The 27,034-nt window shown below is 40.2% G+C and overlaps 1 long non-coding RNA gene across 1 annotated transcript, besides 2 other annotated features; it reads left to right on the top strand.

The window, feature by feature from the left end:
• Positions 10,338 to 10,838: an enhancer, noted in NCBI's record as "OCT4-NANOG-H3K27ac hESC enhancer chr6:18759725-18760225 (GRCh37/hg19 assembly coordinates)". NCBI's record gives its function as "activates a minimal SCP1, AML or CMV promoter by ChIP-STARR-seq in primed H9 embryonic stem cells {active_cell/tissue: H9 hESC(primed)}" and the evidence as "EXISTENCE:reporter gene assay evidence [ECO:0000049][PMID:30033119]".
• LOC105374957 (uncharacterized) lies at positions 13,048 to 23,644 on the top strand. Its single transcript, XR_926557.3, has 3 exons — positions 13,048 to 13,079; positions 22,178 to 22,243; positions 23,380 to 23,644. It is a non-coding gene; the product is annotated as an uncharacterized LOC105374957 (long non-coding RNA).
• Positions 20,620 to 20,914: an enhancer, noted in NCBI's record as "tiled region #7591; HepG2 Activating non-DNase unmatched - State 12:CtcfO, and K562 Activating non-DNase unmatched - State 13:Ctcf". NCBI's record gives its function as "activates a minimal TATA promoter and a strong SV40 promoter by Sharpr-MPRA in HepG2 and K562 cells {active_cell/tissue: HepG2 | K562}" and the evidence as "EXISTENCE:reporter gene assay evidence [ECO:0000049][PMID:27701403]".
• Positions 23,645 to 27,034: the final 3,390 nt, after the last annotated feature.

Genomic DNA, 27,034 nt, shown 5'->3' with positions numbered 1-27,034 from the left:
AAAAATACAAAAAATTAGCCAGGCGTGGTGGCGGGCACCTGTAGTCCCAGCTACTTGGGAGGCTGAGGCAGGAGAATGGCATGAACCTGGGAGGCAGAGCTTCCAGTGAGCTGAGATCGAGCCACTGCACTCCAGCCTGGGCTACAGAGTGAGACTCCATCTCAAAAAAAAAAAAAAAAATTAAGCCATAATTTATGTACTATATAAGTTGCCCTTTTTGTTGTATACATCTGCAAGTTTTGACAGGTGCATACAGACTTGTAACCATCACCACAATCAAGCTATAGAATGCTTCCATCCCCCTTAAAATATTCCCCTTCACCCCTTTATAGTCAAATTTCCCCCTCTCACCACCATCTCTGGCAATTACTGGTTCGTGTTCTACCTCTATGGTCTTGCCTTTTTCAGAATATCATATAAATGGAATTATACGGCATAAAGCCTTCTTGAATCAGGCTTCTTTCACTGACCATCCATGTTTTTATGCTAATCAGTAATTTGCTCCTTTTTATTGCTTAACAGTATTTCAATGTGTTGATGTAATACAGTTTGTTAATTCATCCCTGGGGAGAGGGACTTTTGGGGTGTTTCCACGTTTTTGTGATTAAATATAATACGGCTGTAAATGTTAACATGCAGGTTTTTGTGTGAACATAAGTTTTCATTTCACTTTGGTAAATATTTAGGCATGAAATGATTGGTCATATAGTAAACATATGTTTTAAATGTAGAAGAAATTACCAAAGTGGTTTTCATAGTGGTTGTGCCATTTTACATTCCCACGAGAAGCGTGTGAGTTCCAGTTCCTCCACATCCTCGCCAGCACTTTGTATGACCAGTAAATGGTAAAATCCATCCTCCCACTAAGTTGGGTGAAAGTATCTGGCATCATCATCATCAGTTCCTCTACTTTGTTCATACCCTATATCCAGCCAGTCAAAAAAGCCAATCAGATCTACCATTAAGTCATACCCAGAACCTAAACCGCTGATTACATTTGCCATTAGATCTTCGTAACTTTTTTATTGCAAAAACTTCCAAACTGATTTTCAAGTTTAATATTCTGAACTCAGATGCTTAAAGTGTAGGTTAATCATCTCATTTTCATGCTCAAAATCCTGTAATCTTCCCATTTCACTCAGTAAAAGCCAAAAGTCCTGGTAATCCCCTAAAACACTGCACAATCAGGCCCCACAAGTCTGACTTCCCCTTTGCCTACCTGCCCTTTTTTTCCCTTTCTTTCTTTTCTTTTCTTTTTTTTCTTTTTTTTTTTTTTTTTTTTGAGATGGAGTCTTGCTGTGTCGCCCAGGTAGGAGTGCAGTGGCATGATCTCGGCTCACTGCAACCTTCTCCTCCCCGATTCAAGCAATTCTCCTGCCTCCGCCTCCCAAGTAGCTGGGTCCACAGGCACACGCTGCCATGCCTGGCTAATTTTTTTGTATTTTAGTAGAGACAGGGTTTCACCGTGTTGCTCAGTCTGGTCGCAAACTCCTGAGCTCAGGCAATCCACCCGCCCAGGCCTCCCAAAGTGCTGAGATTACAGGCGTGAGCCACTGTGCCCAGCCTTTTTTTCTTTCTTTCTTTCTTCTTTCTTTCTTTTTTCTCTCTCTCTTTCCTTCCTTCCTTCTCTCTTTCTCTCTCTCTTTCTTTTCCTTCCTTCTTTCCTTCCTTCTTTCCTTCCTTCCTTCCTTTCCTTTTTTTTTTTTTGACAGGGCCTTGCTCCATTGCCCAGGCTAGAGTGAGGTGGTGCAACCTCAGCTCAATGCAACCTACACCTCCTGGGCTCAAGTGATCCTCCCACCTCAGCCTCCCCAGTAGCTGAGACTGCAAGTGCATACTATCACACCTGGCTAATTTTTGTATTTTTTTAATAGAGACGGGGATTTCACCAGGTTGCCCAGGCTGATGTTGAGCTCCTGAGCTAAGGTGATCCACCCACCTCAGCCTCCCAAAGTGCTGGGGATTACTGGCGTGAGCCACTGCACCCAACTTTTCCTTAAGTCTCAGTGATTTTTTGTTGTTCTTCAAACATGCCAGGCAAGCTCCTACTTCAAGGCTCTACAATTGCTGTTTCCTTTCTTGAAATGTTTTTCTATCAAAAATCTACATGTTTTATTTCCTCACCTCCTTCAAGTTTTCTTCACTCAAATATTGAGCCACCCACTCTAAAATTGCAGCTTACTCTTCCACAACTGTCCTGTACCCTCATTCTCTGCTTTATTTTTTCCTTAGTATTTATAGTCATCTTACATGCTATATATTAAATTACACATTTGTTTATTGACTTGATTTATCCCTCAAGAACATAAATAAAGGGAAGGCATGGAATTTTGCAAGCATTGCTTACTGCTGTATCTAGCCTTGAAAACCATACCTAGAACACAAATAGGGTGTCAATAAATCTCTGTTGAATCAATTAAATTTGTCACAGTCTAGAATTTGTTAAATGGTCAGGACTTTCGCTCTGCCTTGGTGTAAGAGCTAGTTTGCTTTTCTAGGCAAAGAAAGTTTTTGTCTTGTTTTGTTTGTCTAGGCACCCTGATATGGTGTTTCCATCTGCTTTAGTGCATCGGGATGTTAGAAGGAGGTTTTATCTGCTTCTCACACTGGCAGCTTACATGTGCTCAGATTTACTGATCTCTGAGGGCACTTAGGCACCCACTGTTTGTTTATTTTGGAATTATTTTGTTATCAGCTTTACATGGGTATGAACCGTTGCCAAGATGGAAAGCCCTTCGAGGACTGTTATTCCTCATCCTCAGGATGCTCTCTGACCTGACCTTGAGAAACAACTGCAGCTCCTTGCAGAAGATGAAGAATATAAAATCTTCATTGCTTGCTCTGGGCCAAAGAGATTTCTGCCCAGCACCAACAGCAGGCTGCTGTTAGCCATGGTGTGCTACAACACTCAAGAATCACCCCTCCAGGCCCTATATAAGGTATGTCCTCCCCCACATTAGAGAGACCACTGGAATCAGCCACAGCCAGGAGTCTTTGAAGATGATTCATATGTGTATCCTTCCATCCCCACAACAAACAAATAAACAAGCGAACAAAAAACCCTCACAAGTCCTGGTTTCATTAAAAAAAAAAAAAATCCTTTACATTATGAGAAGAAAATTATTCCACAGAAAGTTTGAAAAATAATAAAGTGACCCATAATCTCACCATCCTAAGACAACCAACACCTTCAATTTTGTAGATCACCTTCTGTCTTTTATAATATGAATATTTTACATAGGTGTAAGCTTACTGCACATGTAATTGCATACATTTTAAAATCAATGTTATAATCATTCATTCATCAGGTGGTTAACAGAACAATTGATGAGAACAAACTGGGAGCCATGGACCAAGAGTTAACCCTGTCTTCAAAGGGCTCATAGTCTAGACAAGCACTTTTCAATAGAAATATAGTGCAAGCCAAATATGCAAGTTCAAATTTTTAAAGAAATGATTGAAATTAATTTTGCTACTATATTTTATTTAACCCAATATATCTAAAATATTATCATTTCAACATGTAATCAATAAAAAATTGTTAATGAAATATTTAACATTTTTTGTATCAAGTCTTTGAAATCCAGTGTCCAATGTCTTTTGCTTTCACAGCATACCTCGATTTGGACAAGACCTGTTTCCAGTGCTCAAAGCCACATGGTACCGGTAGCCATCGTCCTGGACAATGCAGTCTGCGAGGGTACCTTTCTATGTTTCTAAGAGTTTTCAACTTTGCAATTATTATCTTTCATACTTTCATAATATGCTATTGGGTTTATTTAGTTATTCACTTTTTACTGAACATCCAAGTTAACTCCATTTTTTTCACAATTATAAATTATACAGCAATGGATGTATTTTACCATATTTTGAATTAGTATTTAATTAGATTACTCTCACAGATGTGGAATGCTTGAGGTAAAAGGTTCAAACACAGTAATGAGTTTTGGTACACATTTTCAAGTTGCTTTCCAAAACCGTTGAATGATTTTACCCTGCCTCTAGCAATGTGTGTGAGCCAGTTTCACTGAGTATACCCCAGCGCCAGCCATACAAATCTCCATCCTTCCCAACTTCTTGTCTGGCTTCCTGGGCATTAGCTTTCCAGAGTTATTTTGCTGTTATTTTGTTTTTTGTTAGTTTATTTGTTTCTTTGAGGCTTTTTGTTTTGCTGTTCTGTTTGCATTTTTTGATTTCAGGTATACGTTGCTAATGGCAGTGTTTTTATGTTCGAAAATAAAATTCCAATTCTAATTTCCCTCTATTCACAGTATTTCCTTTTAATACTGAGCCAACACCTACCCAACAAGGAAATTCAAACTCATGGCAGGATGACATTTTCTATTACCTTCACCACCTTTGTTTTTCCTCATTCTCATTCCTAAGAGAAGATTTTCCTGAATGGGAATATGCTTCAAGGTTATGCTATGAGAGACAAAAACTTAATTAGTGAAAAATATATTTAGGAGGCTTATTTGTTCTATGAGTCTAAACAATGTGAGCACTCAGAGTAATTGGGCCTGTTTGTTTGAATGCAAGAGGCTGCAGCAGGATGAAGCAGAGATCCCAAGGAAGAAGGATAGAGAACAATGGACACGGGAGGCCAAATTCCAGAGTAGGTGGACTCAACCCTACATAGGAGACCAACTGAGATCCGTTTTACTGATCCTACCTCCTGCCTCCTATAAATATTTCTTTCACAGAAATGTTTATATTATCATCTGGCTTCCAAGAAATAAGGCAAACCTAAGCTTGTGTTATTTCCGGTGATGAATTGAGTCTGTGCACTTTTCTTGTCATTGTAGGTTCAAAACAGTAGAGCCAACACATACATTTGGCTAGTTCATGACATGAATATACCCCATTGGTATATTTGCATTTTTGAGAGGATATCTGCATTTTGGGGCATACATGCTTTTTAACTTTTTATTCTGAAATAATTTTAGATTTACAGAAGAGTTGCAAAGACAGTAAGACAATTCCAATACCCAGCTTCCCTAACCTTCACATTTTACAAAACCAAAGTAAACTTATCAAAACTAAGTATTTAACATTCATCCAATACTATGAACAAAACTACCAACTTTATTCAGATTATACCAATTCGTCTACTAACGCTCTCTTTCTATCCCAGGATCTAAGCCAGGGTAACAATCATATCTAGTGACCTTCCTCCTTAGGTTCCTCTCAACTGTGAGTTTCTCAGTGTTTGTCTTCCATGTCCTTTACACTCCCAAAGAGCATTCTGGTCAGGCATTTTGCAGAGTGTCCTTCAATTTGTATTTTCTGATGTTTCCTCATGATTAGACTGGAGTTAGAGTTTTAGAGGAAGAATACTACAGAGATGAAGTGGCATTCTCACTGCATCCTAGCAGAGGGTACTTGTTAACAACATGACTTATTATTGATGGTCTTGGTTATATTTTTATTTAGATTGCTCTTGGTTTGTTTTATCATGGTTTTTCTCCTTAGCTATTGATCTTTCAAAAAGGACAAAGGAAGAGAATAGCGACATTTGAATACAAATAACGTTTTTAAAACATCTGAGCAGGTACATTTTACACGTTACTGTCTTCAAACTAGTCTCCATTACAGACTTCATTTTCCAATGAAGCTACCGTCATTTCATTTTCAGTTTTACATATCTACTTTTAATTAAAAAAAAGTTGCAAGAATTGTAGAAATAACTCTTTTTCCTGAACTACTTAAGAGTAAGTTGCCGATATAAGGCTCCATCACTGCTGAATATATTAGTGTGTAATTCCTACCAATGAGGACTTTCTGCAACATAAGCATACTACAACCATGCAGTTGACATTGCTTCATTGTGACCACCTATTAATAATTCACAGTTTCTAAGGCAGGCAGATCGCCGGAGCCCAAGAATTTGAGATCAGCCTGGGCAATGTGGTAAAACCTGGTCTCTCCTAAAATACAAAAATTTAGGCTGGGCGCAGTGGCTCATGCCTATAATCCCAACATTTTGGGAGGCTGAGGCGGGTGGATCACCTGAGGTTAGGAGTTCGAGATGAGCCTGGCCAACATGGTGAAACCCTGTCTCTACTAAAAGTACAATTAGCTAGGCATGGTGGCGGGCACCTGTAATCCCAGCTACTCGGGAGGCTGAGGCAGGAGAATCGCTTGAACCTGGGAGGCAGAGGTTTCAGTGAGCTGAGATCCTGCCGCTGCACTCCTGCCAGGGTGACAGAGCAAGACTCTGTCTCAAAAATAAATAAATAAGCAAGCCAGGCACGGAAGCACACACTTGTAGTCCAGCTACTTGGGAGGCTGAGATGAGAGGATCACCTGAGCCTGGAAGTTCAAGGCGGCAGTGAGCTGTGATTATGCCACTGAATTCCAGCCTGGGCAATGGGAGTAAAGCTCCACCTCAAAAATAAAAAATAATAATAATAGTGGCTGGGTGCAGTAGCTCACACCTGTAACCCCAGCACTTTGGGAGGCCAAGGCAGGTGGATCACCTGAGGTCAGGAGTTCAAGACCAGCCTGGCCAACATGGTGAAATCTCATCTCTACTAAAAATACAAAAATTATCCAGGCGTGATGGTGGATGCCTGTAATCCCAGCTACTCAGGAGGCAGAGGCAGGAGAATCGTTTGAACCCAGGAGGCAGAGGTTGCAGTGAGCCAAGATTCAGCCATTGCACTCCAGCCTGGGCAACAGAGTAAGACTCTGTCTCACAGTAATAATAATAATAATAATAATAATAATAATAATAATTCACAGACTCTCATCAGGTTAGCCAAAGAGACCCTTTCCAAACAGAAGATCCACCCAGGTAAATAAAGCATATTTCATTGCTGTGTCTGCTTAGCCACCTAATCTGGAATGGTTCCTCAGTTTTTCCTTGACTTTTGAGTCCTTGACACTTTGGAACATTACAGGCCAGTTAATTGGCAGAAGGTTTCTTAGTTTAAGTTTACCAGACCTTTCTTCCTGCTTCAATTCAGGTTATGCATTTTTGTCAAGAATAGTATGAAAGTAAAGCTGGATTCTTCTGGTTGCTTCTTGACCTGTGACACATGAAGTTGCTATGCTATGTAACCGGGGCTGTTAACCTTGTCTGTCAGGTTTCTCCATTATAAAGTTTCTGTGTGTCTCCTGTGAGGAAAAAGTATGTTAAGGGAGGGACTCTGAGTCTGTGAATTATCCAGTTCTTCATCAAACTTTTACCCATTAGTCTTAGCATCCACTGGTGTTTCTTGGTTGAATTAATTATCACTCTGTTACTTATCAAGTGGCTATTTTCTAACTCCATTATTTTTTCCTACATTTATTCATTGGCATTCTACCATAAAAAAGCTTTTCTTCTCCCCATATCCTATTCTTTTATTTGTTTATGTCAGTACAGATGCATAGATTTTTATTTTATCCAATTGGTTATAATCTGTCACAATTTGTTGTTGTTGCTCAGATCATCCCAGCCTTGACCAGTGGAGCTCTTTCAAGCTGGCTTCTGTGACATTTTGATATGTCTATAACATTCTTTGAATACTTTCTTACTTCCTAGTACAACAAAATATTCCAGGCTCATCTTATACTTTTCCTGTCCCTGCCTTGAAATCAGTCACTGCTCCAGAGAGCTTCAGAGTGGTGAAAGGGATTTACAAGCCATGAGGAAGATGCTGGGTGTGCCCATTGCTATTAGGCTGTTCATGTTCCCAAGATACTACACAAGTTCACACGGACACCATCAATTACAATCCAACCTTAAATTATTCATGATCTTTTTCTCCCATTCCAAATTTGTAACTCCTTTCTCTAACGGTGAGCAATTGGCTCCAATTATGCTCAATGTATTTACTTATTTGATCAATCCCTTTAAAGGTGGACAATTTTCATCACCACCACCACTGTCAACTCATGCAGACATGCATCCTCCTTACCTTCTTGACCTTGGACATTGCACTCTGGTCCAATGCCATGTAGATGCCATCCCACTCTGCTCAGAAGACAAGTGAGACTCCCCGACTACCACACTCATAGCATGGTGCCTCCTCGCCATATTCAGGCACTGACAGCCATGCTGGAGTGCTCTGCACACTGCCCCCAGACCTGGATGACTGTCTTGCTCAGCCTCACCTAATCACTTTTGAACTGGATTAATCAGGAAGGAAAGCAGGAGAGAAGGCAGGAAGGGAGGCAGGAAGGAAGCATAATCTGAAATAGTTTGGACTCTTGTCAAAGGTATATGAAGTATATCTTAGTCCATTCAGGTTGCTATAAGAAAACGCCATAGACTGAATGGTTTATACACAACATAAATTTATTTCTTATAGTTCTGGAGGCTGGGGAGTCCAAGAACAAGGCATTAGCAGATTCATTGTCTTCTGTTTCATAGAATGTGTCTTCTTGCTGCATCCTCACATAGTGGAAGACATAAGGCAGCTTTCTGGGGCCTCCTTTATAAGGATACTAATTCCATTAATAAGGGAAGAGCCCTCATGAACTAATCACTTCCTAAAAGACTGTACCATCTAATACCATTAGTTCGGGGGTTAGAGACCACTGAAGGTAATCAATATTATACAAGCTCTGTCACACCCATTAGAATAGCTAACTATCAAAGGGAAAATAATAATAACGAGTGTTGGTAAAGACATGGATAAACTGAACCCTTGTGCATTATTGGTGGGGATGTAAAATGGGCAATTACTATGGGAAATAGTAGGGAAGTTGTTCAAAATTAGACAGAGAGTTACCATATGATCTAGCAATTGCATCCCCAGTATATAACAAAAGTAAGTCAAAGCAGGGACACAAAGAGATATTTGTCCATTCATGTTCATAGCAACACTATTCACAATAGCCAAAAAGTTGGAAGGATCCCAAGTATCCTTTAATGAATAAATGAATAAACAAAATGTGGTATAAACATAAAATGGAATATTATTATTCAGTCTTATAAGGAAGATGATTTGGACACATGCTACAACATGGATAAGCATGTTGAGGACATGCTCAACAACCTTGAGGATTTTGTGCTAAGTAAAATTAGCCAGTCGCAAAGAGACAAATACAGCATGATTCCACCCATATGAGATACCTAGAGTGGTCAAATTCAGAGAGGCATAAAGTACATTAGAGATTACTAAGGATTACAGAGAGAAGGGAATGGAGAGTTATTGTTTAAGGGTACAGAGTTTCAGTTTGAAAGATGAAAAGAGTTCTAGACATAGATAATAGTGATGGTTCCAAAACAATGTGAATGTAATTAATGCCACTGAAGTGAATGCTAAAAATGGTTAAAATGATAAATTTTATGTTATGTGCATTGTACCACAATAAAAAAGTTAAAATATTACACAATTTGTGAATATTATTTCAAAAGACTTGTTTTAGGAATTTTTCAAATGTGCAAACATAAATGGAACAAGTATATAGTTCCTATATGACTACATTAATAAAACAATGCTCATACTGCTATATTATTTCATATATTTTCTCAGATACACACATATTTAATTAAACATGATAGTTAATGACCTTTAAATATAAGAGCAGAAACCTTGGGGTAAGTTTTTTATTTTTGTCTCAAATAAGTTAAAACAAATTCCATTTATCCATATTTTTGGAAGAAACATTTGTTTTTCAAAATAAATTATTTTCAGACTTGGCTAACCACAAGTCTGAAATGTGCACAAAACTCCCTCAACCATACATATAGTAAAATAGAGGTAAAGAGAACAACAGATAATGCTGTGAATAAATTCTTCCAAGTCCATGAAACAAATTGGAGTCAAATTTGAATAATGCAATCAGTCTACATGAATATTTTAGGCCACTTGGTTTAATTCAGCAAATTTCATTGAACACCTGTTTATGCCAGATACAGTATTAAGTAATGAGGCTATAGAGAGGAGCAAAACACTATTTCTCAAAACACTATTTCTATCCTCTAGGATTGTAAATACTGTAGTTGGAATAAGATGGAGCCGAGAGAGGAACCAGCATTACTGAAAACCTGAATACATCATTTTATGTGAGTCTCGCAATCTCTCTGTGAGTTAGTTGTTGTTATCCCCATTTTTTAGATGAGAGAACTGAGATTTAGAGAGATTAAGTAAAGCACCATGAGACAAACAATTCACAAAAAGCAGAGATCTAATTTTTCCCCCGTTCATCTGATTCCAAAGTCCACACTCTGTCTCCAATCTTACCATGATATATTGAATTATACTACACTGTATTACACAATAAAAAATAGGCATGGGAACAAATAATTACAACCAACTACAATACAGGTGATACGAAAAATATTTGCCACATAGATGAATGTCAAAGAAGAAGCCATGGTCAACTTTGTTCTTCAGAATAGGCTCAGAAAAATTTAAATAGGGTGGTTAATTCTGCAGTAGAATTTGATATTAGATAGAAATTTTACAAGTTGACAAAGGAGGAAAAACTACTCAGTGGAAACATGCAAAATACTTTCTTTACCCATGTCAGGCCTCTGAGCCCAAGCTAAGCCATCATATCCCCTGTGACCTGCATGTACACATCCGGATGGCCGATTCCTGCCTTAATTGATGACATTCCACCACAAAAGAAGTGAAAATGGACTGTTCCTGCCTTAACGGATGGCATTATCTTGTGAAATTCCTTCTCCTGGCTCAAAAGCTCCCCTACTGAGCACCTTGTGACCCCCACTCCTGCCCGCCAGAGAACAACCCCCCTTTTCCTTTACCTACCCAAATCCTATAAAACGGCCCCACCCCTATCTCCCTTTGCTGACTCTCTTTTCGGACTCAGCCCGCCTGCACCCAGGTGAAATAAATAGCCATGTTGCTCACACAAAGCCTGTTTGGTGGTCTCTTCACACAGATGCACATGAAATTTGGTGCCGTGACTCGGATCGAGGGACCTCCCTTGGGAGATCAATCCCCTGTCCTCCTGCTATTTGTTCCATGAGAAAGATCCACCTACGACCTCAGGTCCTCAGACCAACCAGCCCAAGAAACATCTCACCAATTTCAAATCCAGTAAGTGGCCTCTTTTTCCTCTCTTCTCCAACCTCTCTCACTGTCCCTCAACCACTTTCACCTTTCCACTCTTCAATCTCTCCCTTCTTTTAATTTCAATTCCTTTCATTTTCTGATAGAGACAAAGGAGACACGTTTTATCTGTGGACCCAAAACTCTGGCACTGGTCACGGACTAGGGAAGGCAGCCTTCCCTTGGTGTTTAATCATTGCAGGGACACCTCTCTGATTATTCATCCAGGTTTCAGAGGTGTCAGACCACGCAGGGACGCCTACCTTGGTCCTTCACCCTTAGCAGCAAGTCCCACTTTTCTGGGGTAGGGGCAAGTACCCCAACCCCTTCTCTCCGTGTCTCTACCCCTTCTGCGCCTTTCTGGGGGGCAAGGAACCCCCAACCCCTTCTCCTTCACTCTTAGTGGCAAGTCCCGCTTTTCTAGAGGAGGGGCAAGTGCCCCAAGCTCATATCTCTGCGCCCCAATCCCTTATTTCCGCACCCCAACCTCTTATATCTCTGCGCCGCAATCCCTTATTTCTGTGCACCGACCTCTTATCTCTGTGCCCCAATCCCTCATTTCCGTGCCCCAACCTCTTATATCTCTGTGCCCCGATCCCTTATTTCCATGCCCCAACCTCTTATATCTCTGCACCCTGATCCCTTATTTCCACACCCCAACCTCGTATCTCTGCACCCCAACCCCTTTCCCGCTTTTCTGGAGGGTAAGAACCCCCGAACCGCTTCCCTCCATGTCTCTACTCTCCCTTTTCCTTAAACTTGCCTCTTTCACTATGGGCAACATTCCACCCTCCATTCCCCCTTCTTCTCCCTTAGCCTGTGTTCTTAAGAACTTAAAACCTCTTCAACTCTCACCTGACCTAAAATCTAAGCACTTTATTTTCTTCTGCAATGCCGCTTGACCCCAATACAAACTTGACAGTAGTTCCAAATAGCCAGAAAACAGCACTTTCAATTTTTCCACCCTGCAAGATCTAAATAATTCTTGTCGTAAAATGGGCAAACGGTCTGAGATGCCTGACGTCCAGGCATTCTTTTACACATCGGTCCCTCCCTAGTCTCTGTGCCCAGCGCAACTCATCCCAAATCTTCCTTCTTTCCCTCCCACCTGTCCCCTCAGTCCCAACCCCAAGTGTCACTGAGTCTTTCTAATCTTCCTTTTCTACAGACCCATCTGACCTCTCCCCTCCTCCCCAGGCTGCTCCTCGCCAGGCCGAGCTAGGTCCCAATTCTTCCTCAGCCTCCGCTCCTCCACCCTATAATCCTTTTATCACCTCCCCTCCTCACTCCCGGTCCAGCTTGCAGTTTCGTTCCGTGACTAGCCCTCCCCCACCTGCCCAGCAATTTACTCTTAAGAAGGTGGCTGGAGCTAAAGGCATAGTCAAGGTTAATGCTCCTTTTTCTTTATCCCAAATCGGATAGCATTTAGGCTCTTTTTCATCAAATATAAAAATCCAGCCCAGTTCATGACTCGTTTGGCAGCAACCCTGAGACACTTTACAGCCCTAGACCCTAAAAGTTCAAAAGGCCGTCTTATTCTCAAAATACATTTTATTACCAATCTGCTCCCAACATTAAATAAAACTCCAAAAATTAAATTCCGGCCCTCAAACCCCACAACAGGATTTAATTAACCTCGCCTTCAAGGTGTACAATAATAGAAAAAAGTTGCAATTCCTTGCCTCCACTGTGAGACAAACCCCAGCCACATCTCCAGCACACAAGAACTTCCAAATGCCTGAACCACAGTGGCCAGGCGTTCCTCCAGAACCTCCTCCCCCAGGAGCTTGCTACAAGTGCCAGAAATCTGGCCACCAGGCCAAGGAATGCCTGCAGCCCAGGATTCCTCCTAAGCCGCGTCCCATCTGTGCGGGACCCCACTGGAAATCGGACTGTTCAACTCACCTGGCAGCCACTCCCAGAGCCCCTGGAACTCTGGCCTAAGGCTCTCTGACTCCTTCCCAGATCTTCTTGGCTTAGCGGCTGAAGACTGACACTGCCCGATCACCTCGGAAGCCCCCTAGACCATCACGGATGCTGAGCTTCGGGTAACTCGCACAGTGGAAGGTAAGTCGGTCCCCTTCTTAATTAATACGGAGGCTACCCACTCCACATTACCTTATTTTTAACGACCTGTTTCCCTTGCCTCCATAACTGTTGTGGGTATTGATAGCCAGGCTTCTAATCCTCTTAAAACTCCCCACCTCTGGTGCCAATTTAGACAATACTCTTTTAACCATTCCTTTTAGTTATCCCCACCTGCCCAGTTCCCTTATTAGGCCGAGACACTTTAACTAAATTATCTGCTTCCCTGACTATTCCTGGATTACAGCTACATCTCATTGCTGCCCTTCTTCCCAATCCAAAGCCTCCTTTGCGTCCTCCTCTTGTATCCCCCACCTTAACCCACATGTATAAGATACCTCTACTCCCTTCTTGGTGACCGATCATGCACCCCTTACCATCTCATTAAAACCTAATCACCCTTACCCCACTCAATGCCAATATGCCATCCCACAGCACAGTTTGAAAGGATTAAAGCCTGTTATCACTCACCTGTTACAGCACGGCCTTTTAAAGCCTATAAACTCTCCTTATCATTCCCCCATTTTACCTGTCCTAAAACCAGACAAGCCTTACAAGTTAGTTCAGGATCTATGCCTTATCAACCAAATTGTTTTGCCTATCCACCCCATGGTGCCAAACCCATATACTCTCCTATCCTCAATACCTCCCTCCACAATCCATTATTCTGTTCTGGATCTCAAACATGCTTTCTTTACTATTCCTTTGCACCCGTCATCCCAGCCTCTCTTCGCTTTCACTTGGACTGACCCTGACACCCATCAGGCTCAGCAAATTACCTAGGCTTTACTGCTGCAAAGCTTCACAGACAGCCCCCATTACTTCAGTCAAGCCCAAATTTCTTCCTTATCTGTTACCTATCTCAGCATAATTCTCATAAAAATACACATGCTCTCCCTGCTGATCGTGTCTGATTAATCTCCCAAACCTCAATCCCTTACAAAACAACAACTCCTTTCCTTCCTAGGCATGGTTAGTGTGGTCAGAATTCTTACACAAGAGCCAGGACCGCACCCTGTAGCCTTTCTGTACAAACAACTTGACCTTACTGTTTTAGCCTAGCCATCATGTCTCCGTGCAGCGGCTGCTGCCGCCCTAATACTTTTAGAGGCCCTCAAAATCACAAACTATCCTCAACTTACTTTCTACATTTCTCATAACTTCCGAAATCTATTTTCTTCCTCATACCTGACGCATATACTTTCTGCTCCCCAGCTCCTTCAGCTGTACTCACTCTTTGTTAAGTCCCACAATTACCATTGTTCCTGGCCCAGACTTCAATCCGGCCTCCCACATTATTCCTGATACCACACCTGACCCCCATGACTGTATCTCTCTGATCCACCTGACGTTCACCCCATTTCCCCACATTTCCTTCTTCCCTGTTTCTCATCCTGATCACACTTGGTTTATTGATGGCAGTTCCACCAGGCCTAATCGCCACACACCAGCAAAGGCAGGCTATGCTATAGTACAAGCCACTAGCCCGTCTCTTAGAACCTCTCATTTCCTTTCCATCATGGAAATCTATCCTCAAGGAGATCACTTCTCAGTGTTCCATCTGCTATTCTACTACCCCTCAGGGATTGTTCAGGTCCCCTCCCTTTCCTACACATCAAGCTCGAAGATTTGTCCCTGCCCAGGACTGGCAAATTGACTTAAATACCTCTTAGTCTAGGTAGACACTTTCACCGGATAGGTAGAGTCCTTTCCTACGGGGTCTGAGAAGGCCACCGCGGTCATTTCTTCCCTTCTGTCAGACATAATTCCTCAGTTTGGCCTTCCCACCTCTATACAGTCTGATAACAGACCAGCCTTTATTAGTCAAATCAGCCAAGTATTTTTTCAGGCTCTTGGTATTCAGTGAAACCTTTATATACCTTACAGTCCTCAGTCTTCAGGAAAGGTAGAACGGACTAATGGTCTTTTAAAAACACACCTCACCAAGCTCAGCCACCAACTTAAAAAAGACTGGACAATACTTTTACCACTTTCCCTTCTCAGAATTCAGGCCTGTCCTTGGAATGCTACAAGGTACAGCCCATTTGAGCTCCTGTATAGATGCTCCTTTTTATTAGGCCCCAGTCTCATTCCAGACACCAGACCAACTTAGACTGTGCCCCAAAAAACTTGTCATCTTTTCTATCTTCTGTCTAGTCATACTCCTATTCACCGTTCTCAGCTACTCATACATGCCCTGCTCTTGTTTACACTGCCGGTTTACACTGTTTCCCCAAGCCATCACAGCTGATATCTCCTGGTGCTATCCCCAAACCGCCACTCTTAACTCTTGAAGTAAATAAATAATCTTTGCTGACAGGACTATGCTGAATCTCCTTAGGAACTCTCTAATTAGATGTCCTGGGTCCTCCCAATTCTTAGACCTTTAATACCTGTTTTTCTCCTTCTCTTATTCCATTTAGTTTTTCAATTCATACAAAACTGTATCCAGGCCATCACCAATAATTCTAAATGACAAATGTTTCTTCTAACAGTCCCACAATATCACCCCTTACCACAAAATCTTCCTTCAGCTTAATCTCTCCCACTCTAGGTTCCCACGCCGCCCCTAATCCCACTCGAAGCAGCCCTGAGAAACACCGCCCATTATCTCCCTATACCATCCCCAAAAATTTTCGCCATCCCAACACTTTACCACTATTTCATTTTATTTTTCTTATTAATATAAGAAGACAGGAATGTCAGGCCTCTGAGCCCAAGCTAAGCCATCATATCCCCTGTGACCTGCATGTACACATCCGGATGGCCGATTCCTGCCTTAATTGATGACATTCCACCACAAAAGAAGTGAAAATGGACTGTTCCTGCCTTAACGGATGGCATTATCTTGTGAAATTCCTTCTCCTGGCTCAAAAGCTCCCCTACTGAGCACCTTGTGACCCCCACTCCTGCCCACCAGAGAACAACCCCCCTTTTCCTTTACCTACCCAAATCCTATAAAACGGCCCCACCCCTATCTCCCTTTGCTGACTCTCTTTTCGGACTCAGCCCGCCTGCACCCAGGTGAAATAAATAGCCATGTTGCTCACACAAAGCCTGTTTGGTGGTCTCTTCACACGGCCGCGCATGAAAACCCATGTCTATATTCATTCATTTGCCCTTCCAATTCACTCCTCTGGTCTGCAGTTCACCCACAAGAAGGTATTTCACTGGAATGTTGCTTATAAATGTTGTTAGATTTTGCCAAGTGAAGATGCTGTGTTTCATTATCCCCTTTACACATATATTTCTTTGAGTACAGTCTTTATTTTTTGCAATATGTTTATGTTTGGCATATCTCAGTGTGTGGTGTGTATACAACACGGTACACATATATTCACTGCATCTACCACCTTTTGTCTCTTTTGTACCCTCACATAGTTTCTGCAATCATCTCCAGCACATGGGGATGCTCAGGAGATATTACTAATTGATTTTAAGTCTTCTCAAAGAACATTCATTATCATTATCATTATGCCCACACTGGAAAACTGTCAGATGTCAATGTGTACTTGGTAGAAAGAAATTGACTTGTGAATGTTAATACCTTGGTGAAACATTTTTCCATAGATAACAATTTTCTGGAAAAATGCTCTTTTGATGTAATGGCCACAAACAGACTTATTCTTTCTCTGCAGAGGACAAAAAGGCACCCTTACAACATACACCTTCCAGTCTGTGTTAGTGATGGCACTAATACAGATGCCCAGAGCTATATCCCCTGCCCAGAGCTGACAGATTCTTTTTATCCATTATATCTCAAGCATCAGATCACTAATTCATGTACAGGATAAGACAACTGCCAAATTATTAGACTACAGAGGGAAGCTCCTCAGACACCTGTCATGTTGATGAAAGCAGCATCGTCCTCTGACCTTTGCCAGTTCAAGGTCGATAATGAGAGGAGTCAGGCAGGAAGAGCAGCATGTGTCGGCTCCATTAGCGTGCGCTGTGTGTGCACTCAGGAGCACTGCATCTCCTGTCAATTATTGTGGGGAGACCGGGGACCGCTGATTACCAGGGACATGGCGTAGCGAGCCGCAGTTACCTCTACTTCTGTACCCAGCTGCATTTTAATTAGCGCAATCCCTCGACTATATCTTCAGAGCTTCATTATTGAGCTTCAAGAAACTCAAGTAAGGCTTTTTACATTTCACATCACTAATAGGAAGAAATGTTGAAGATTCTAATAATGGAGTTTGATGACACCAGTCTCTGGGTAAAGGCTTTGCAGGCTTCTTAGAACAGGACAATCTTGACTTGCTGAGAGCTGTGTGTAGCAGAACCAGCCACAGAAGCAGAAGGGGAGAGGGACAGTTTCCCAGTAAGAAAGCCATAGACAGCAGCTAGGAGAGCAGCAAAATAAATGCGGGATAGCAACCCCACAGCCTGGCCTGTCTACATAGGGGTCTGTGCATATCCATATGAAGAAGAATGCAGTGAGCAAGCAGTCTTTGAATCCACAAATAAAGGAACAAAGGGAAGGAATTTAAAAATCTGAAAAGGGAACTGTCTTCATAGTTTTCACACTTTTCTCTTACAAAAGAAACTGTTTGAGCCTTTGCAAAAATCACTCATTTAGCAGAAAAGAGTCTAAAATATCAAAGTCAGAAGACTTTTATTCTCATAAACCACCACCACAATTCTCCCAGGGTAGTGATTTTTAAATGGAGTAAGTATCACCGTCATATAGAGGGTGGTTAAAACACAGATTGCTGGGCTCGCACCATTTCTTCCCAAGTTTCTGATTCATTAGGTCTGAGGTAGGACTGGATGATTTTGCATTTCTAACAAGTTCCCAGGTGATGCTGATGCTGTTGATGAATGGGAGACAACTATATTTACATAATCGCCTTCCCAGAGGCAGCTACCCAAATTGCAGGTAGAGTGCCCGAAAGAAATAATTACCCCTTGCCATTTAAAACAAAGATATGCTACCTATGATCACCTAAGTCAGTCATTGAAACATGAGCGTGAAACGTTATATACATTAACATCAATGTCTTATTTAATCACAATAATATGTGGGGGTTTGTAGTAAATTCTTTAGTGTAAGAATATTTAAGGAGTTCATTGCCAAGTAAAAAGCACTCTCTTCACTAAGGATATACCTCTTTAATGCCACCCTGTTACTTGAATAAACTTAATCTTAATTTATATAGAATGAAGGATAACTAGCCATCAGCTGAACCATAAAACAGTGACCTAAAAAATATTTGAAGTAGTTGACTATGCATGTGTGGTTATGTTACAGATTAGTTAGGTATCTTAGCTCTTGATTTATCTAAAAAGTTTTCAGGACCAAATGTTATGCATGATCACTACGATTATTGAATAGCTTGCTTTAATCTATGTAGACTTCAGTTACTCATCTGTGAGATGTGGAAATACACTTAAAAATCCTGGTTCCTTCTAGCTTTAAAATTTCATGACATGGATCCCTATTTTCTACTTGAGTCAACATGTTTAGCACCTGGTGTGACACTCCGATTAGAAGTAAACTCTTTAAATTCTGAGCTCAGTCCCTTTAGCACATTTTATAATCTGGATCAGCACCAAATTGAAAATACCTTTTAACTTGTTATGTACTCGGTGTTTCTGCAGGGAAAAGTTCCCAACCACATTTCACATTCCAAAATGTTTACCTTCCCAGAAACTTCCAGAATAAGTCATGCAGTGGAAAAAGGTCACATTCTACCTGGCATAAAGATCAAATCTACTGATAAATTAAACCAATGGCAGAAATTATCCATTGAAATTCTTGGAAAGAATGCTAGGAGGGCATTACATTCAAATACAACTGAAAATTTACTTTCATAGATACTTTTCCCATTTACTTTATTCAGATGTAATATTGGAATGGCCAAATTTATTAACAGCCTAGTAATCTCAAACTAGTGAATTCTAAATATACTCTGTCCCATCAAATTCGTTGGGAGCTTTCAATACATTTCAAAGTTTATGCTGATTACATAAGAAAGACTGCTAGTCAAGCCTTGGATTACTGAGTCCAATCCAACTTTTTAGAAGCATGGGGACATGAAGTGTTCTTAGAAGATATCTTGAATCAGGACTGGCAAAACGGAGCATGTAGAAAAATGGTTCCATCCACGTGGTTTAGGTCTACTGATTTGTTCAGGTCTAATACTATTGCTGGAAATGTTTCTTCAGAGGTAATAGGGGTAACTCCAAACACATTTTTTCTCCTTTAGACTCAGCTAATGCATATGAAATTAGACAATGAGAAGTAAAAGCTTTAGTAAAAGTTGAAGCCCTCATTCAAAGCTTTTATAATAGTTTCAGGCTTCTTCTCACACCACAGAGCTGTAATTCCAAGTTGCTTATGATGTTGGCAAATGGAAAACTGAGAACTTGGTGAGCTGATAGACAAAGAGTATCGACAGGCCAGTAAATGTTTAAGCCCACTCACCGGGATAATTCAGCATTTGTCTTTGTGAACACACAGTATAGCCTAGGTTTTGAGAAACTAAAACTCAAACCATGAAACTCTCTTCTCCTTTCTGCCCGCAGCATTTCAGCGTTTGAGTGGGCAACCCAGCCACCTGTCCTTCTTCAGAGAATTTATATAGCCCCTCATTTTGCCTCTCATTGCATTAGATAATGAAGTTAAAACAGACTCTCTTTCACATTTGGGATGAAAAATCACCAAGCTTCTATGCAGAAAATTTCTTTTCTTTACTCAAACCTCTGAGGGATCCAGAATGGCATTTTCAGGTGACATGGACATGTGCAGGTCAGCGAGGTCAGGAAGAGAGCTGACTCAAACCGTTTCTTCTTGACATTGACCTGCCACTACATATTAACATATAAAGAGCTTATGAGGACCTGAGTTGAAAATACTTCCATTTACAAGGAAGTAAACTGAGGCTCACAGAATTGCAGCAGCTTACCTGAGAACAGAGGCAGGACCGAGCTCAAGAGGCAGAGGTGGCCCTGGAAGATGTTGAAAATCACTTTGTATTAAGCCACTCTGCAACTACTTAGGAATCATATTTTTAAAACGTATTTTATTAACCAGAATTCAACTCTACCTGTAGCTCCGCTATTCATAAGGATCATCACAAATTGATTGTTCAATGTTGTATTAATTCCTATTACACATTTTCATGGCTAAATATAGAAAAATAATGACTTTCACATTTTTTTAAATGAGAGTGTAAAATTCTTGAATGCTAGAGTGACATATATTTAAAGGCACCCGAGAAATTAGTCTGCTGATTTTCCATGTCTTATACATCCAAAATCTCACAGCTCAAGTTTTCATTTTCACCATGTATTTTGGCAGCTTCTAAGATAACCCCAAATAATTACACTGTTTTCTTAGGGCTGTTAGAATAAGGGTCTATATACTCCTTATACAAACCTACAACAGTTTGAGTCTTCACAAATCAAATCATTGAGACTACACACCCACACAGAAGCTATAATGAAAGGAGTTTATAAATAAAAGGGTTTTTTACCACCTACTCTCTGAACCATCATATTCCTCTGGAAGGAAGTTTTAAAAGAAAAAAAATGAGAGAAAATGGCTGTGTGTGTGTGTGTGTGTGTATGAGAGGGAGAGAGAGAGGGAGAGAGAGAGAGAGAGAGAGAGAGAGAGAGAGAGTGTGTGTGTGTGTGTGTGTGTGTGTGTGTGTGTGTGCGCGCGCGCACGCGCGCGCAGGATCAGATTGCCCTCTGGTGGACAGTTTATTTCTTCCTTCTTTTAAGATACAACAAAGGAGAAAGAAAAGTAACAATAAAAAAACAGGGAAAAAGGAAACTAGAAAATTAAAAAGCAGAGGAAAAATTGGGAAAGGAAAGAATATAGAAAAGAACAAAGTCAAGAAAAAGGAATGGAACTAGGAAATACTGGTGAAAGACAATAAGGAAATCAAGGAAAAAGAAAGAAGGTTGAGGATCGTGAGAAAAAAAAACAAAGACCAAAAACTGGCTAGTGTCACCTTATACTTAATCAATCCTGGAATTATTTATGGAGAAATAAAATACTTGTAATTACAAATGCTAACTATATCTGGCATTTTAACTTGTTAAACGTTTTCAACATATCTGCTAACTACATGCATGTAAAGTAAGCTTTAATAGCAGCTGTTAGACTTCATGAGAATTGGGGGAGCGTTTTGCAGAACCTAACTGAGAAGAAAGTTTAGAAAAGAAAAACTGCTTTTCTTTACACTTTTTAAAAGTTGCATATAAATCCCAACCGAACATACAAGTCAAGACACGGTGTGCTTTGGCATTTTACATATTTACCATAAAAAGGGGTTTAAAATGTGTACTTTTTTTAATGTTATTGACTGATTGAATAATTTGCTCATAGATTTTTTAGCCATTTGGATGTCTTGAGAGGGAAAAACCACAGGTTAAAATATTATAAAATTTAAGATAAATAAGTTTTAAAAATCCAGTTTGTTACATAAGGAGTACCATAGACAATTGTTTTATTGACAACTGCCAATGTCTCCCACTCATTCTATTATAAAAGTTTGGAATGTGTAACATTTATGTTAGCTAAGCGGAAAGAAACATTCAGAGGAAGCTCAAAGCATCATCCTCATGCCCTCAAACCTGCATTTACCAGAAATACCTGCAGCCAGGGCCACGGCCCCTCTGCCCAGGAGTAGACATAACACTTCCACTGCCTGCTGTGAGCGCACGCTGCAAGGACCCAGAAGAGCAGCTCTCAAGCCCAGCTCCTAATCTTTTCTCCTTAGCCTGCACCAGTGTAGAGCTCAGTGCCTTCCAGGGGCTTAACACCACCGCCCTGCACTACTGAAACAAACACAGTGGTCTCCCACCTTGTTGAATTCACCAACAATGGCTTTCTGCTATAATAAGGCTGTAAGCTCCTTTAAACGGTTATTCAAAGAGATGCTTTAGGAGAGAATAGAATTAGGTTCATTGAAAGTCTTTTAAGCAATCTTGGAGCATACAACCAAACTGAAGCTCAGTGATGGAGAAAGGGAATGCGTACACATCGGTTGTGGCAGAAATCAGAGGCACAGATGTAACAGAGGGGGAACAAAAACAAATTCTGAAGTTCTTTTTTCCATACACAGACCTGTTCCTTCTACCCAAGAAAGAACAGTTAATGAAGCCACATGAGCATCCCTCCCTGCCAACAGGTAAGAAGTCCTGAGGCTATGACCCCTTGTCCCTCCTCCTCAAGGGCACACCTGGGCACAGTGGCATCTCCTGAGTTCATTCTTGGCTTCACTTCCTCCTCTCAATTTATTTACTACTGTTATTTATTTCTATACTGAAAAGGAAAACCTACTTATCTCCACTAAGAACCTTCATTTTTGCTCAACCACAAGAAAATGAGCTTCCTGCTCTGCATGCAGGGTTCAGACAATAGGAAACATAGCTCTGCAATGGTGGGGGTAGAAATTCTAAATATCGTTAATGACAAATGTCTCCCAACTTTAATGTGATAAAGGTTTCACACCCAGGATAAAATGTATTTCCCATGTTTCAAAAGTTTTAACTTGGAAGATCATTGTTAGAACAGTTAACTTCGTCGGGGGAGGCATCACTGACTATACAGAGTTTGATGATACTAGAAGGTAAGTCCTCAACTTTAGAACTGGATACCAAAAAAAAAAAAAAGTTGGCAATTTTCTTTTGAGAAATTACAAACTTATCAAAACCAAAAATGTGGGGGTTTTCTTTCTCACTAAGCTAACGGGGTCAGTTTTCCCAAATGTCTAAATCAATCCATGACTGTAAATAGGACAATCGCAAAAACGTCAATTATTTTAGATGATAAAGATGATACATTTAAGCCTTATTTCTGCTTTGCAGCAATTTGGGGTGCTCACAAACAGTAATGCTAACTGTTGGCATTTATTATCAAGTGTGATGGGTAGAGTACCTCTCTAAACATAATCCAGGGTGCTAATGACAGAATGATCAGCTATATTTCAAACTGTTTGTAATACAAACTTTGTGCTTTCAGCAATTTGAGAAAATCAAAAATGATCTCAATTTTTGAAAATAACATCCTATTTAACCTAACTCTAGAAAAACGAAGCTTCAATCAATCAAGTTAGTTAAAAGAACATTTCTGTAACTAGATTAACTCATGCAATTCTCATTTATAAGATTAATTTTACTTGAGGCTCATAATTATTTCCTTAGTAATTACTAGCTTAGGCCCACAGCTATTGACTCTAAATTTCTTTATTCATTCAGAAAACATTTATTGACTACTAGGTGCTAGGAATACAATGTTGTTCTATTTTTAATCCATATTTTTCAGGTGTACACCTTAGAGAAGAGACAGACAAGTATATGACGTAATCGGATAAATGTCTCGACAATCTATTACAGCAGCTCAACAAAGGGCCACCTAATTGAACCTGGAAGTATCAGGAAGGCTTCCTGGAAAACGTGATAGCTAAGTGGAGTTTTTAACAATAGTAGTAATAATAACAACCTTGTTATTCTAAATGGTTCATATTTATTTTTTAATAAAAAATATTTCATATTTTTTATTTATGAATAAATATTTAATATTTGCAGCAGCCCCATGATCAATGTACTATTATTATCCATTTTACAGATAAGCAGGTGGAGGTAAAAAGGGGTTAAGTTACTTGCCCAAGTCAGTACAGACAGAGAGTGAAAGGGTCAGGATATAAATCTAGTCTAGCCTGAATCCATAGCCCATTTTTAACCACCCACTATGCTAAAATCTTTTCTATTTCAAGCAGAGGAAAGAAGGTGTTCAATGTGCTGAGATATGAGAAAACACCAAGCATTCAGGGACCTGCAAGCAGGTCAATAAAGTTAAAGCATAGTGTATGAGTAATGAGTGCCAAAAATAAGTGTAACTTTATCAGTAAGAATTGCAGGCACTGTTGGTTATAACTTTTGATTCACGTACACTGCTCAGAAAGACAAAGTTGTGCTGCAATAACAACACAACTTCAAAATTTCAGTGGCTTAAAACAACAAATGTTTATTTCTTGCTCATATGACACATCCAATATGGAAAGTTCTGCTCATGAGACCCACTTAGAAACCAAGGCTAATGTGGGCCATATCTTAACTCTTGGCTTCCAGGATTGTTCTGGCAGGAAAAGAGAGAATTGCGGAATCAAGCACCCGCAGTTAAATGCTTTGGCCCAGAAGTGATGTGTGTCACATTTCATTGTCCAATGCTAGTTACATGATGATACCTAACTTCAAGAGGGCAGGGAAGTACAATCCCTGTACTTGTACTTTGAATCTGAGCAGTACTTGAGATCAGTAACTGCATACCATAAGTTATTGTCTTCAGTATTGAAAAGTAATACCATGCAGCACATAAAAATACGATTTGGGCCGGGCGTGGTGGCTCACGCCTGTAATCCCAGCACTTTGGGAGGCCGAGGCGGGTGGATCATGAGGTCAGGAGATCGAGACCATCCTGGCTAACACAGTGAAACCCCGTCTCTACTAAAAATACAAAAAATTAGCCGGGAGCGGTGGCGGGCTCCTGTAGTCCCAGCTACTTGAGAGGCTGAGGCAGGAGAATGGCGTGAACCCAGGAGGCGGAGCTTGCAGTGAGCCGAGATCGCGCCACTGTACTCCAGCCTGGGCGACAGAGCCAGACGCTGTCTCAAAAAAAAAAAAAAAAAAAAAAAAATACGATTTGAAGTCAGACACAATGAGGTGAGAATCCCAACTTCACAACTCATTAGTCTGCGTGATTCTGATTATGGTTCTTAGCCCTCAAAATTGCAGTTTCTTTTTCTTAAATATAGAGACATTCCCTTTCGAGATTGCTGTGAGGTTTAAATGAGATTATGTCTAAAAGCTTAGTGCTTATGACAAAGTAGAAGTCCAATAAATGGTGGCTTTATTTGGAATTGATCAAGAATTTGCAATTTAGTAAAAGTCAAGAGCAGACTACAAAAAGGATTGTAGTTGATTGGAATCATCACCATAGGTTATATAACAAAATATTCAGTGAAGAAGCAGGAAATTATAGTTAATGTGCAATAAACCAGGGATTCTCTTCCTAGTTTCTCATTTATATTAGCCTTTTAAAGCTGCCTAACAAATTACCATAAACATACTGGCTTAAAACAATTCCTGTGTATTAGCTTACAGTTTTGTAGGGTGGAAGTCCAAGCAGGGCTCAGTTTTCTGATCAGTTTCTCACAGGCTGAAATCAAAGTGTTGACCGGGCTGCATTCTCATCTGGAGCTGGGTTCTTCTTCCAGTGTTATGTCCTCACTGCAGAATTCAGCTCCTTCCAGTATGTGATTGACGTGCCCGTTCCTTGCTGGCTATTGGTCAGGAGCTGCTCTCAGCAGCTAGAGTTCATCCACAGTTCCTTGCCACATGGCCCCCAAAGACAATCACAATATGGTTGTTTGCTTTCTTCCAAGCCAGGAGGTATTCCTTCTCTCAGACTACATCCTCTATGAATAGCCCTAGAAAACACTCTAAGCTTTTAAAGAGATCACCTGATTAGCTCAGGCTCTTTTTTAAAAAATATAACAATTACTGGAGTGAAATTTCATAGTATTCAGAAGTTCCACCCACATTAAACTGGAGGATCATATGATGGAGAGAATCATTGGCAATCATCTGAGAAGTCTGTCTACCACATCTCTTCACAGCTTTTCCATGCTGAAGGCAACAATGTATTTTATGACAAACAATGATTCACAGAGGTAGTGCATAGGAGGCATCTGTGGTATTTAACACACAATTCTTAATCCCAACTAGCCTAGAATTCCTAGGACTGGGAAACCCACTCCTTAGGGAAATCATCACATATTTGTTGGAAGGCAATTCTCCACATGTCTCTCATTTCTGCACCTTATAAGCATAGGTACCTACTGCTTTGTTCCATTTCTGCACCTTATAAGTAGAGGTACCCTTTGTTCTAGACTATCTTTTCAAGGACAATTGTAGCACACACAACCTTGAAAGACAGATACTGTGTCTTCCTCCAGAGCAAAGAACAAATTTGATTACTAGTCTGTATAATAATTATACCTCTTTCCAAAGCAAAGGGCAAGCATACTTCCTGCCATTATAAAAGATTCAGATTTCCCGAGTCAGGATTCCTCTCCTGGAATAAAGCTCACTGTGAATAAGACATCTACCTGGGTCCATTCACTTCATCCCTATGGAACATGGAAGCAAGGGGAAACTGACCAAACATGGTGAGAGACTGGCTACTATTATTGCTATGAGTAATGAACTATCCTTTGTCTTGGATCCAGGAGTTTCATGTCTTCCACCAGCATCCATAAAACTGTGACAAACTAACAAGCTTACTTAATCTACTTCCTTAGCTTGCAAGTAGACTTAAAATCTTAGAACTTTCATAGTTCTTGACAATATTCAAGGTATTAAAAGAGAGACTAGAAGGACTGCATGGTGGAAAAAAAATGTACTCAGAAGAAAAAAGCTAACTGCGTTCATTTGTAAAGAATTACATATACTTATTTTTTCCTTAGGTTATAAATATCCTAGAAGGATGCATTTTAAAATATCTAGCTTGATAGATTTAGGTTATTATAGCAGAAAATCATATGAATCTTAAATGAATATTTTCAATATATGTTTACTTTTCTCCTATACTGTTAATACAAAGCATATCCATATTTCTATAATTTTTAAAACTGATTTTTCTTTAATCAGGTCATCTCTACAGATAATTGGCTTATAATTCTATAAGTGTTATAAATTATTTCCAATTTCTTTCACAAACACAGAACACTTGTAATCACAGATCTTTCCTTTAAGGAAACATAACTTTATGTATAGAAAACCAACCACTATGACCAGAGATTACAAATTGCCTGAGGTAGATAAACATTATTTTTTGATAGGAGTTTTTACAAAAAAAATTAAAGAAATTTTTATAAGAGTTTGACTTATCACCAAAGATTATTTTTCCCACTTCTATT

The sequence above is a fragment of the Homo sapiens genome, chromosome 6 (genome assembly GCF_000001405.40).
Source record: "Homo sapiens chromosome 6, GRCh38.p14 Primary Assembly".
NCBI classification, from domain to species: Eukaryota; Metazoa; Chordata; class Mammalia; order Primates; family Hominidae; genus Homo; species Homo sapiens.
Note: the sequence above shows the minus strand (reverse complement) of the source record. Positions and strands in the feature narration are given on the sequence as shown.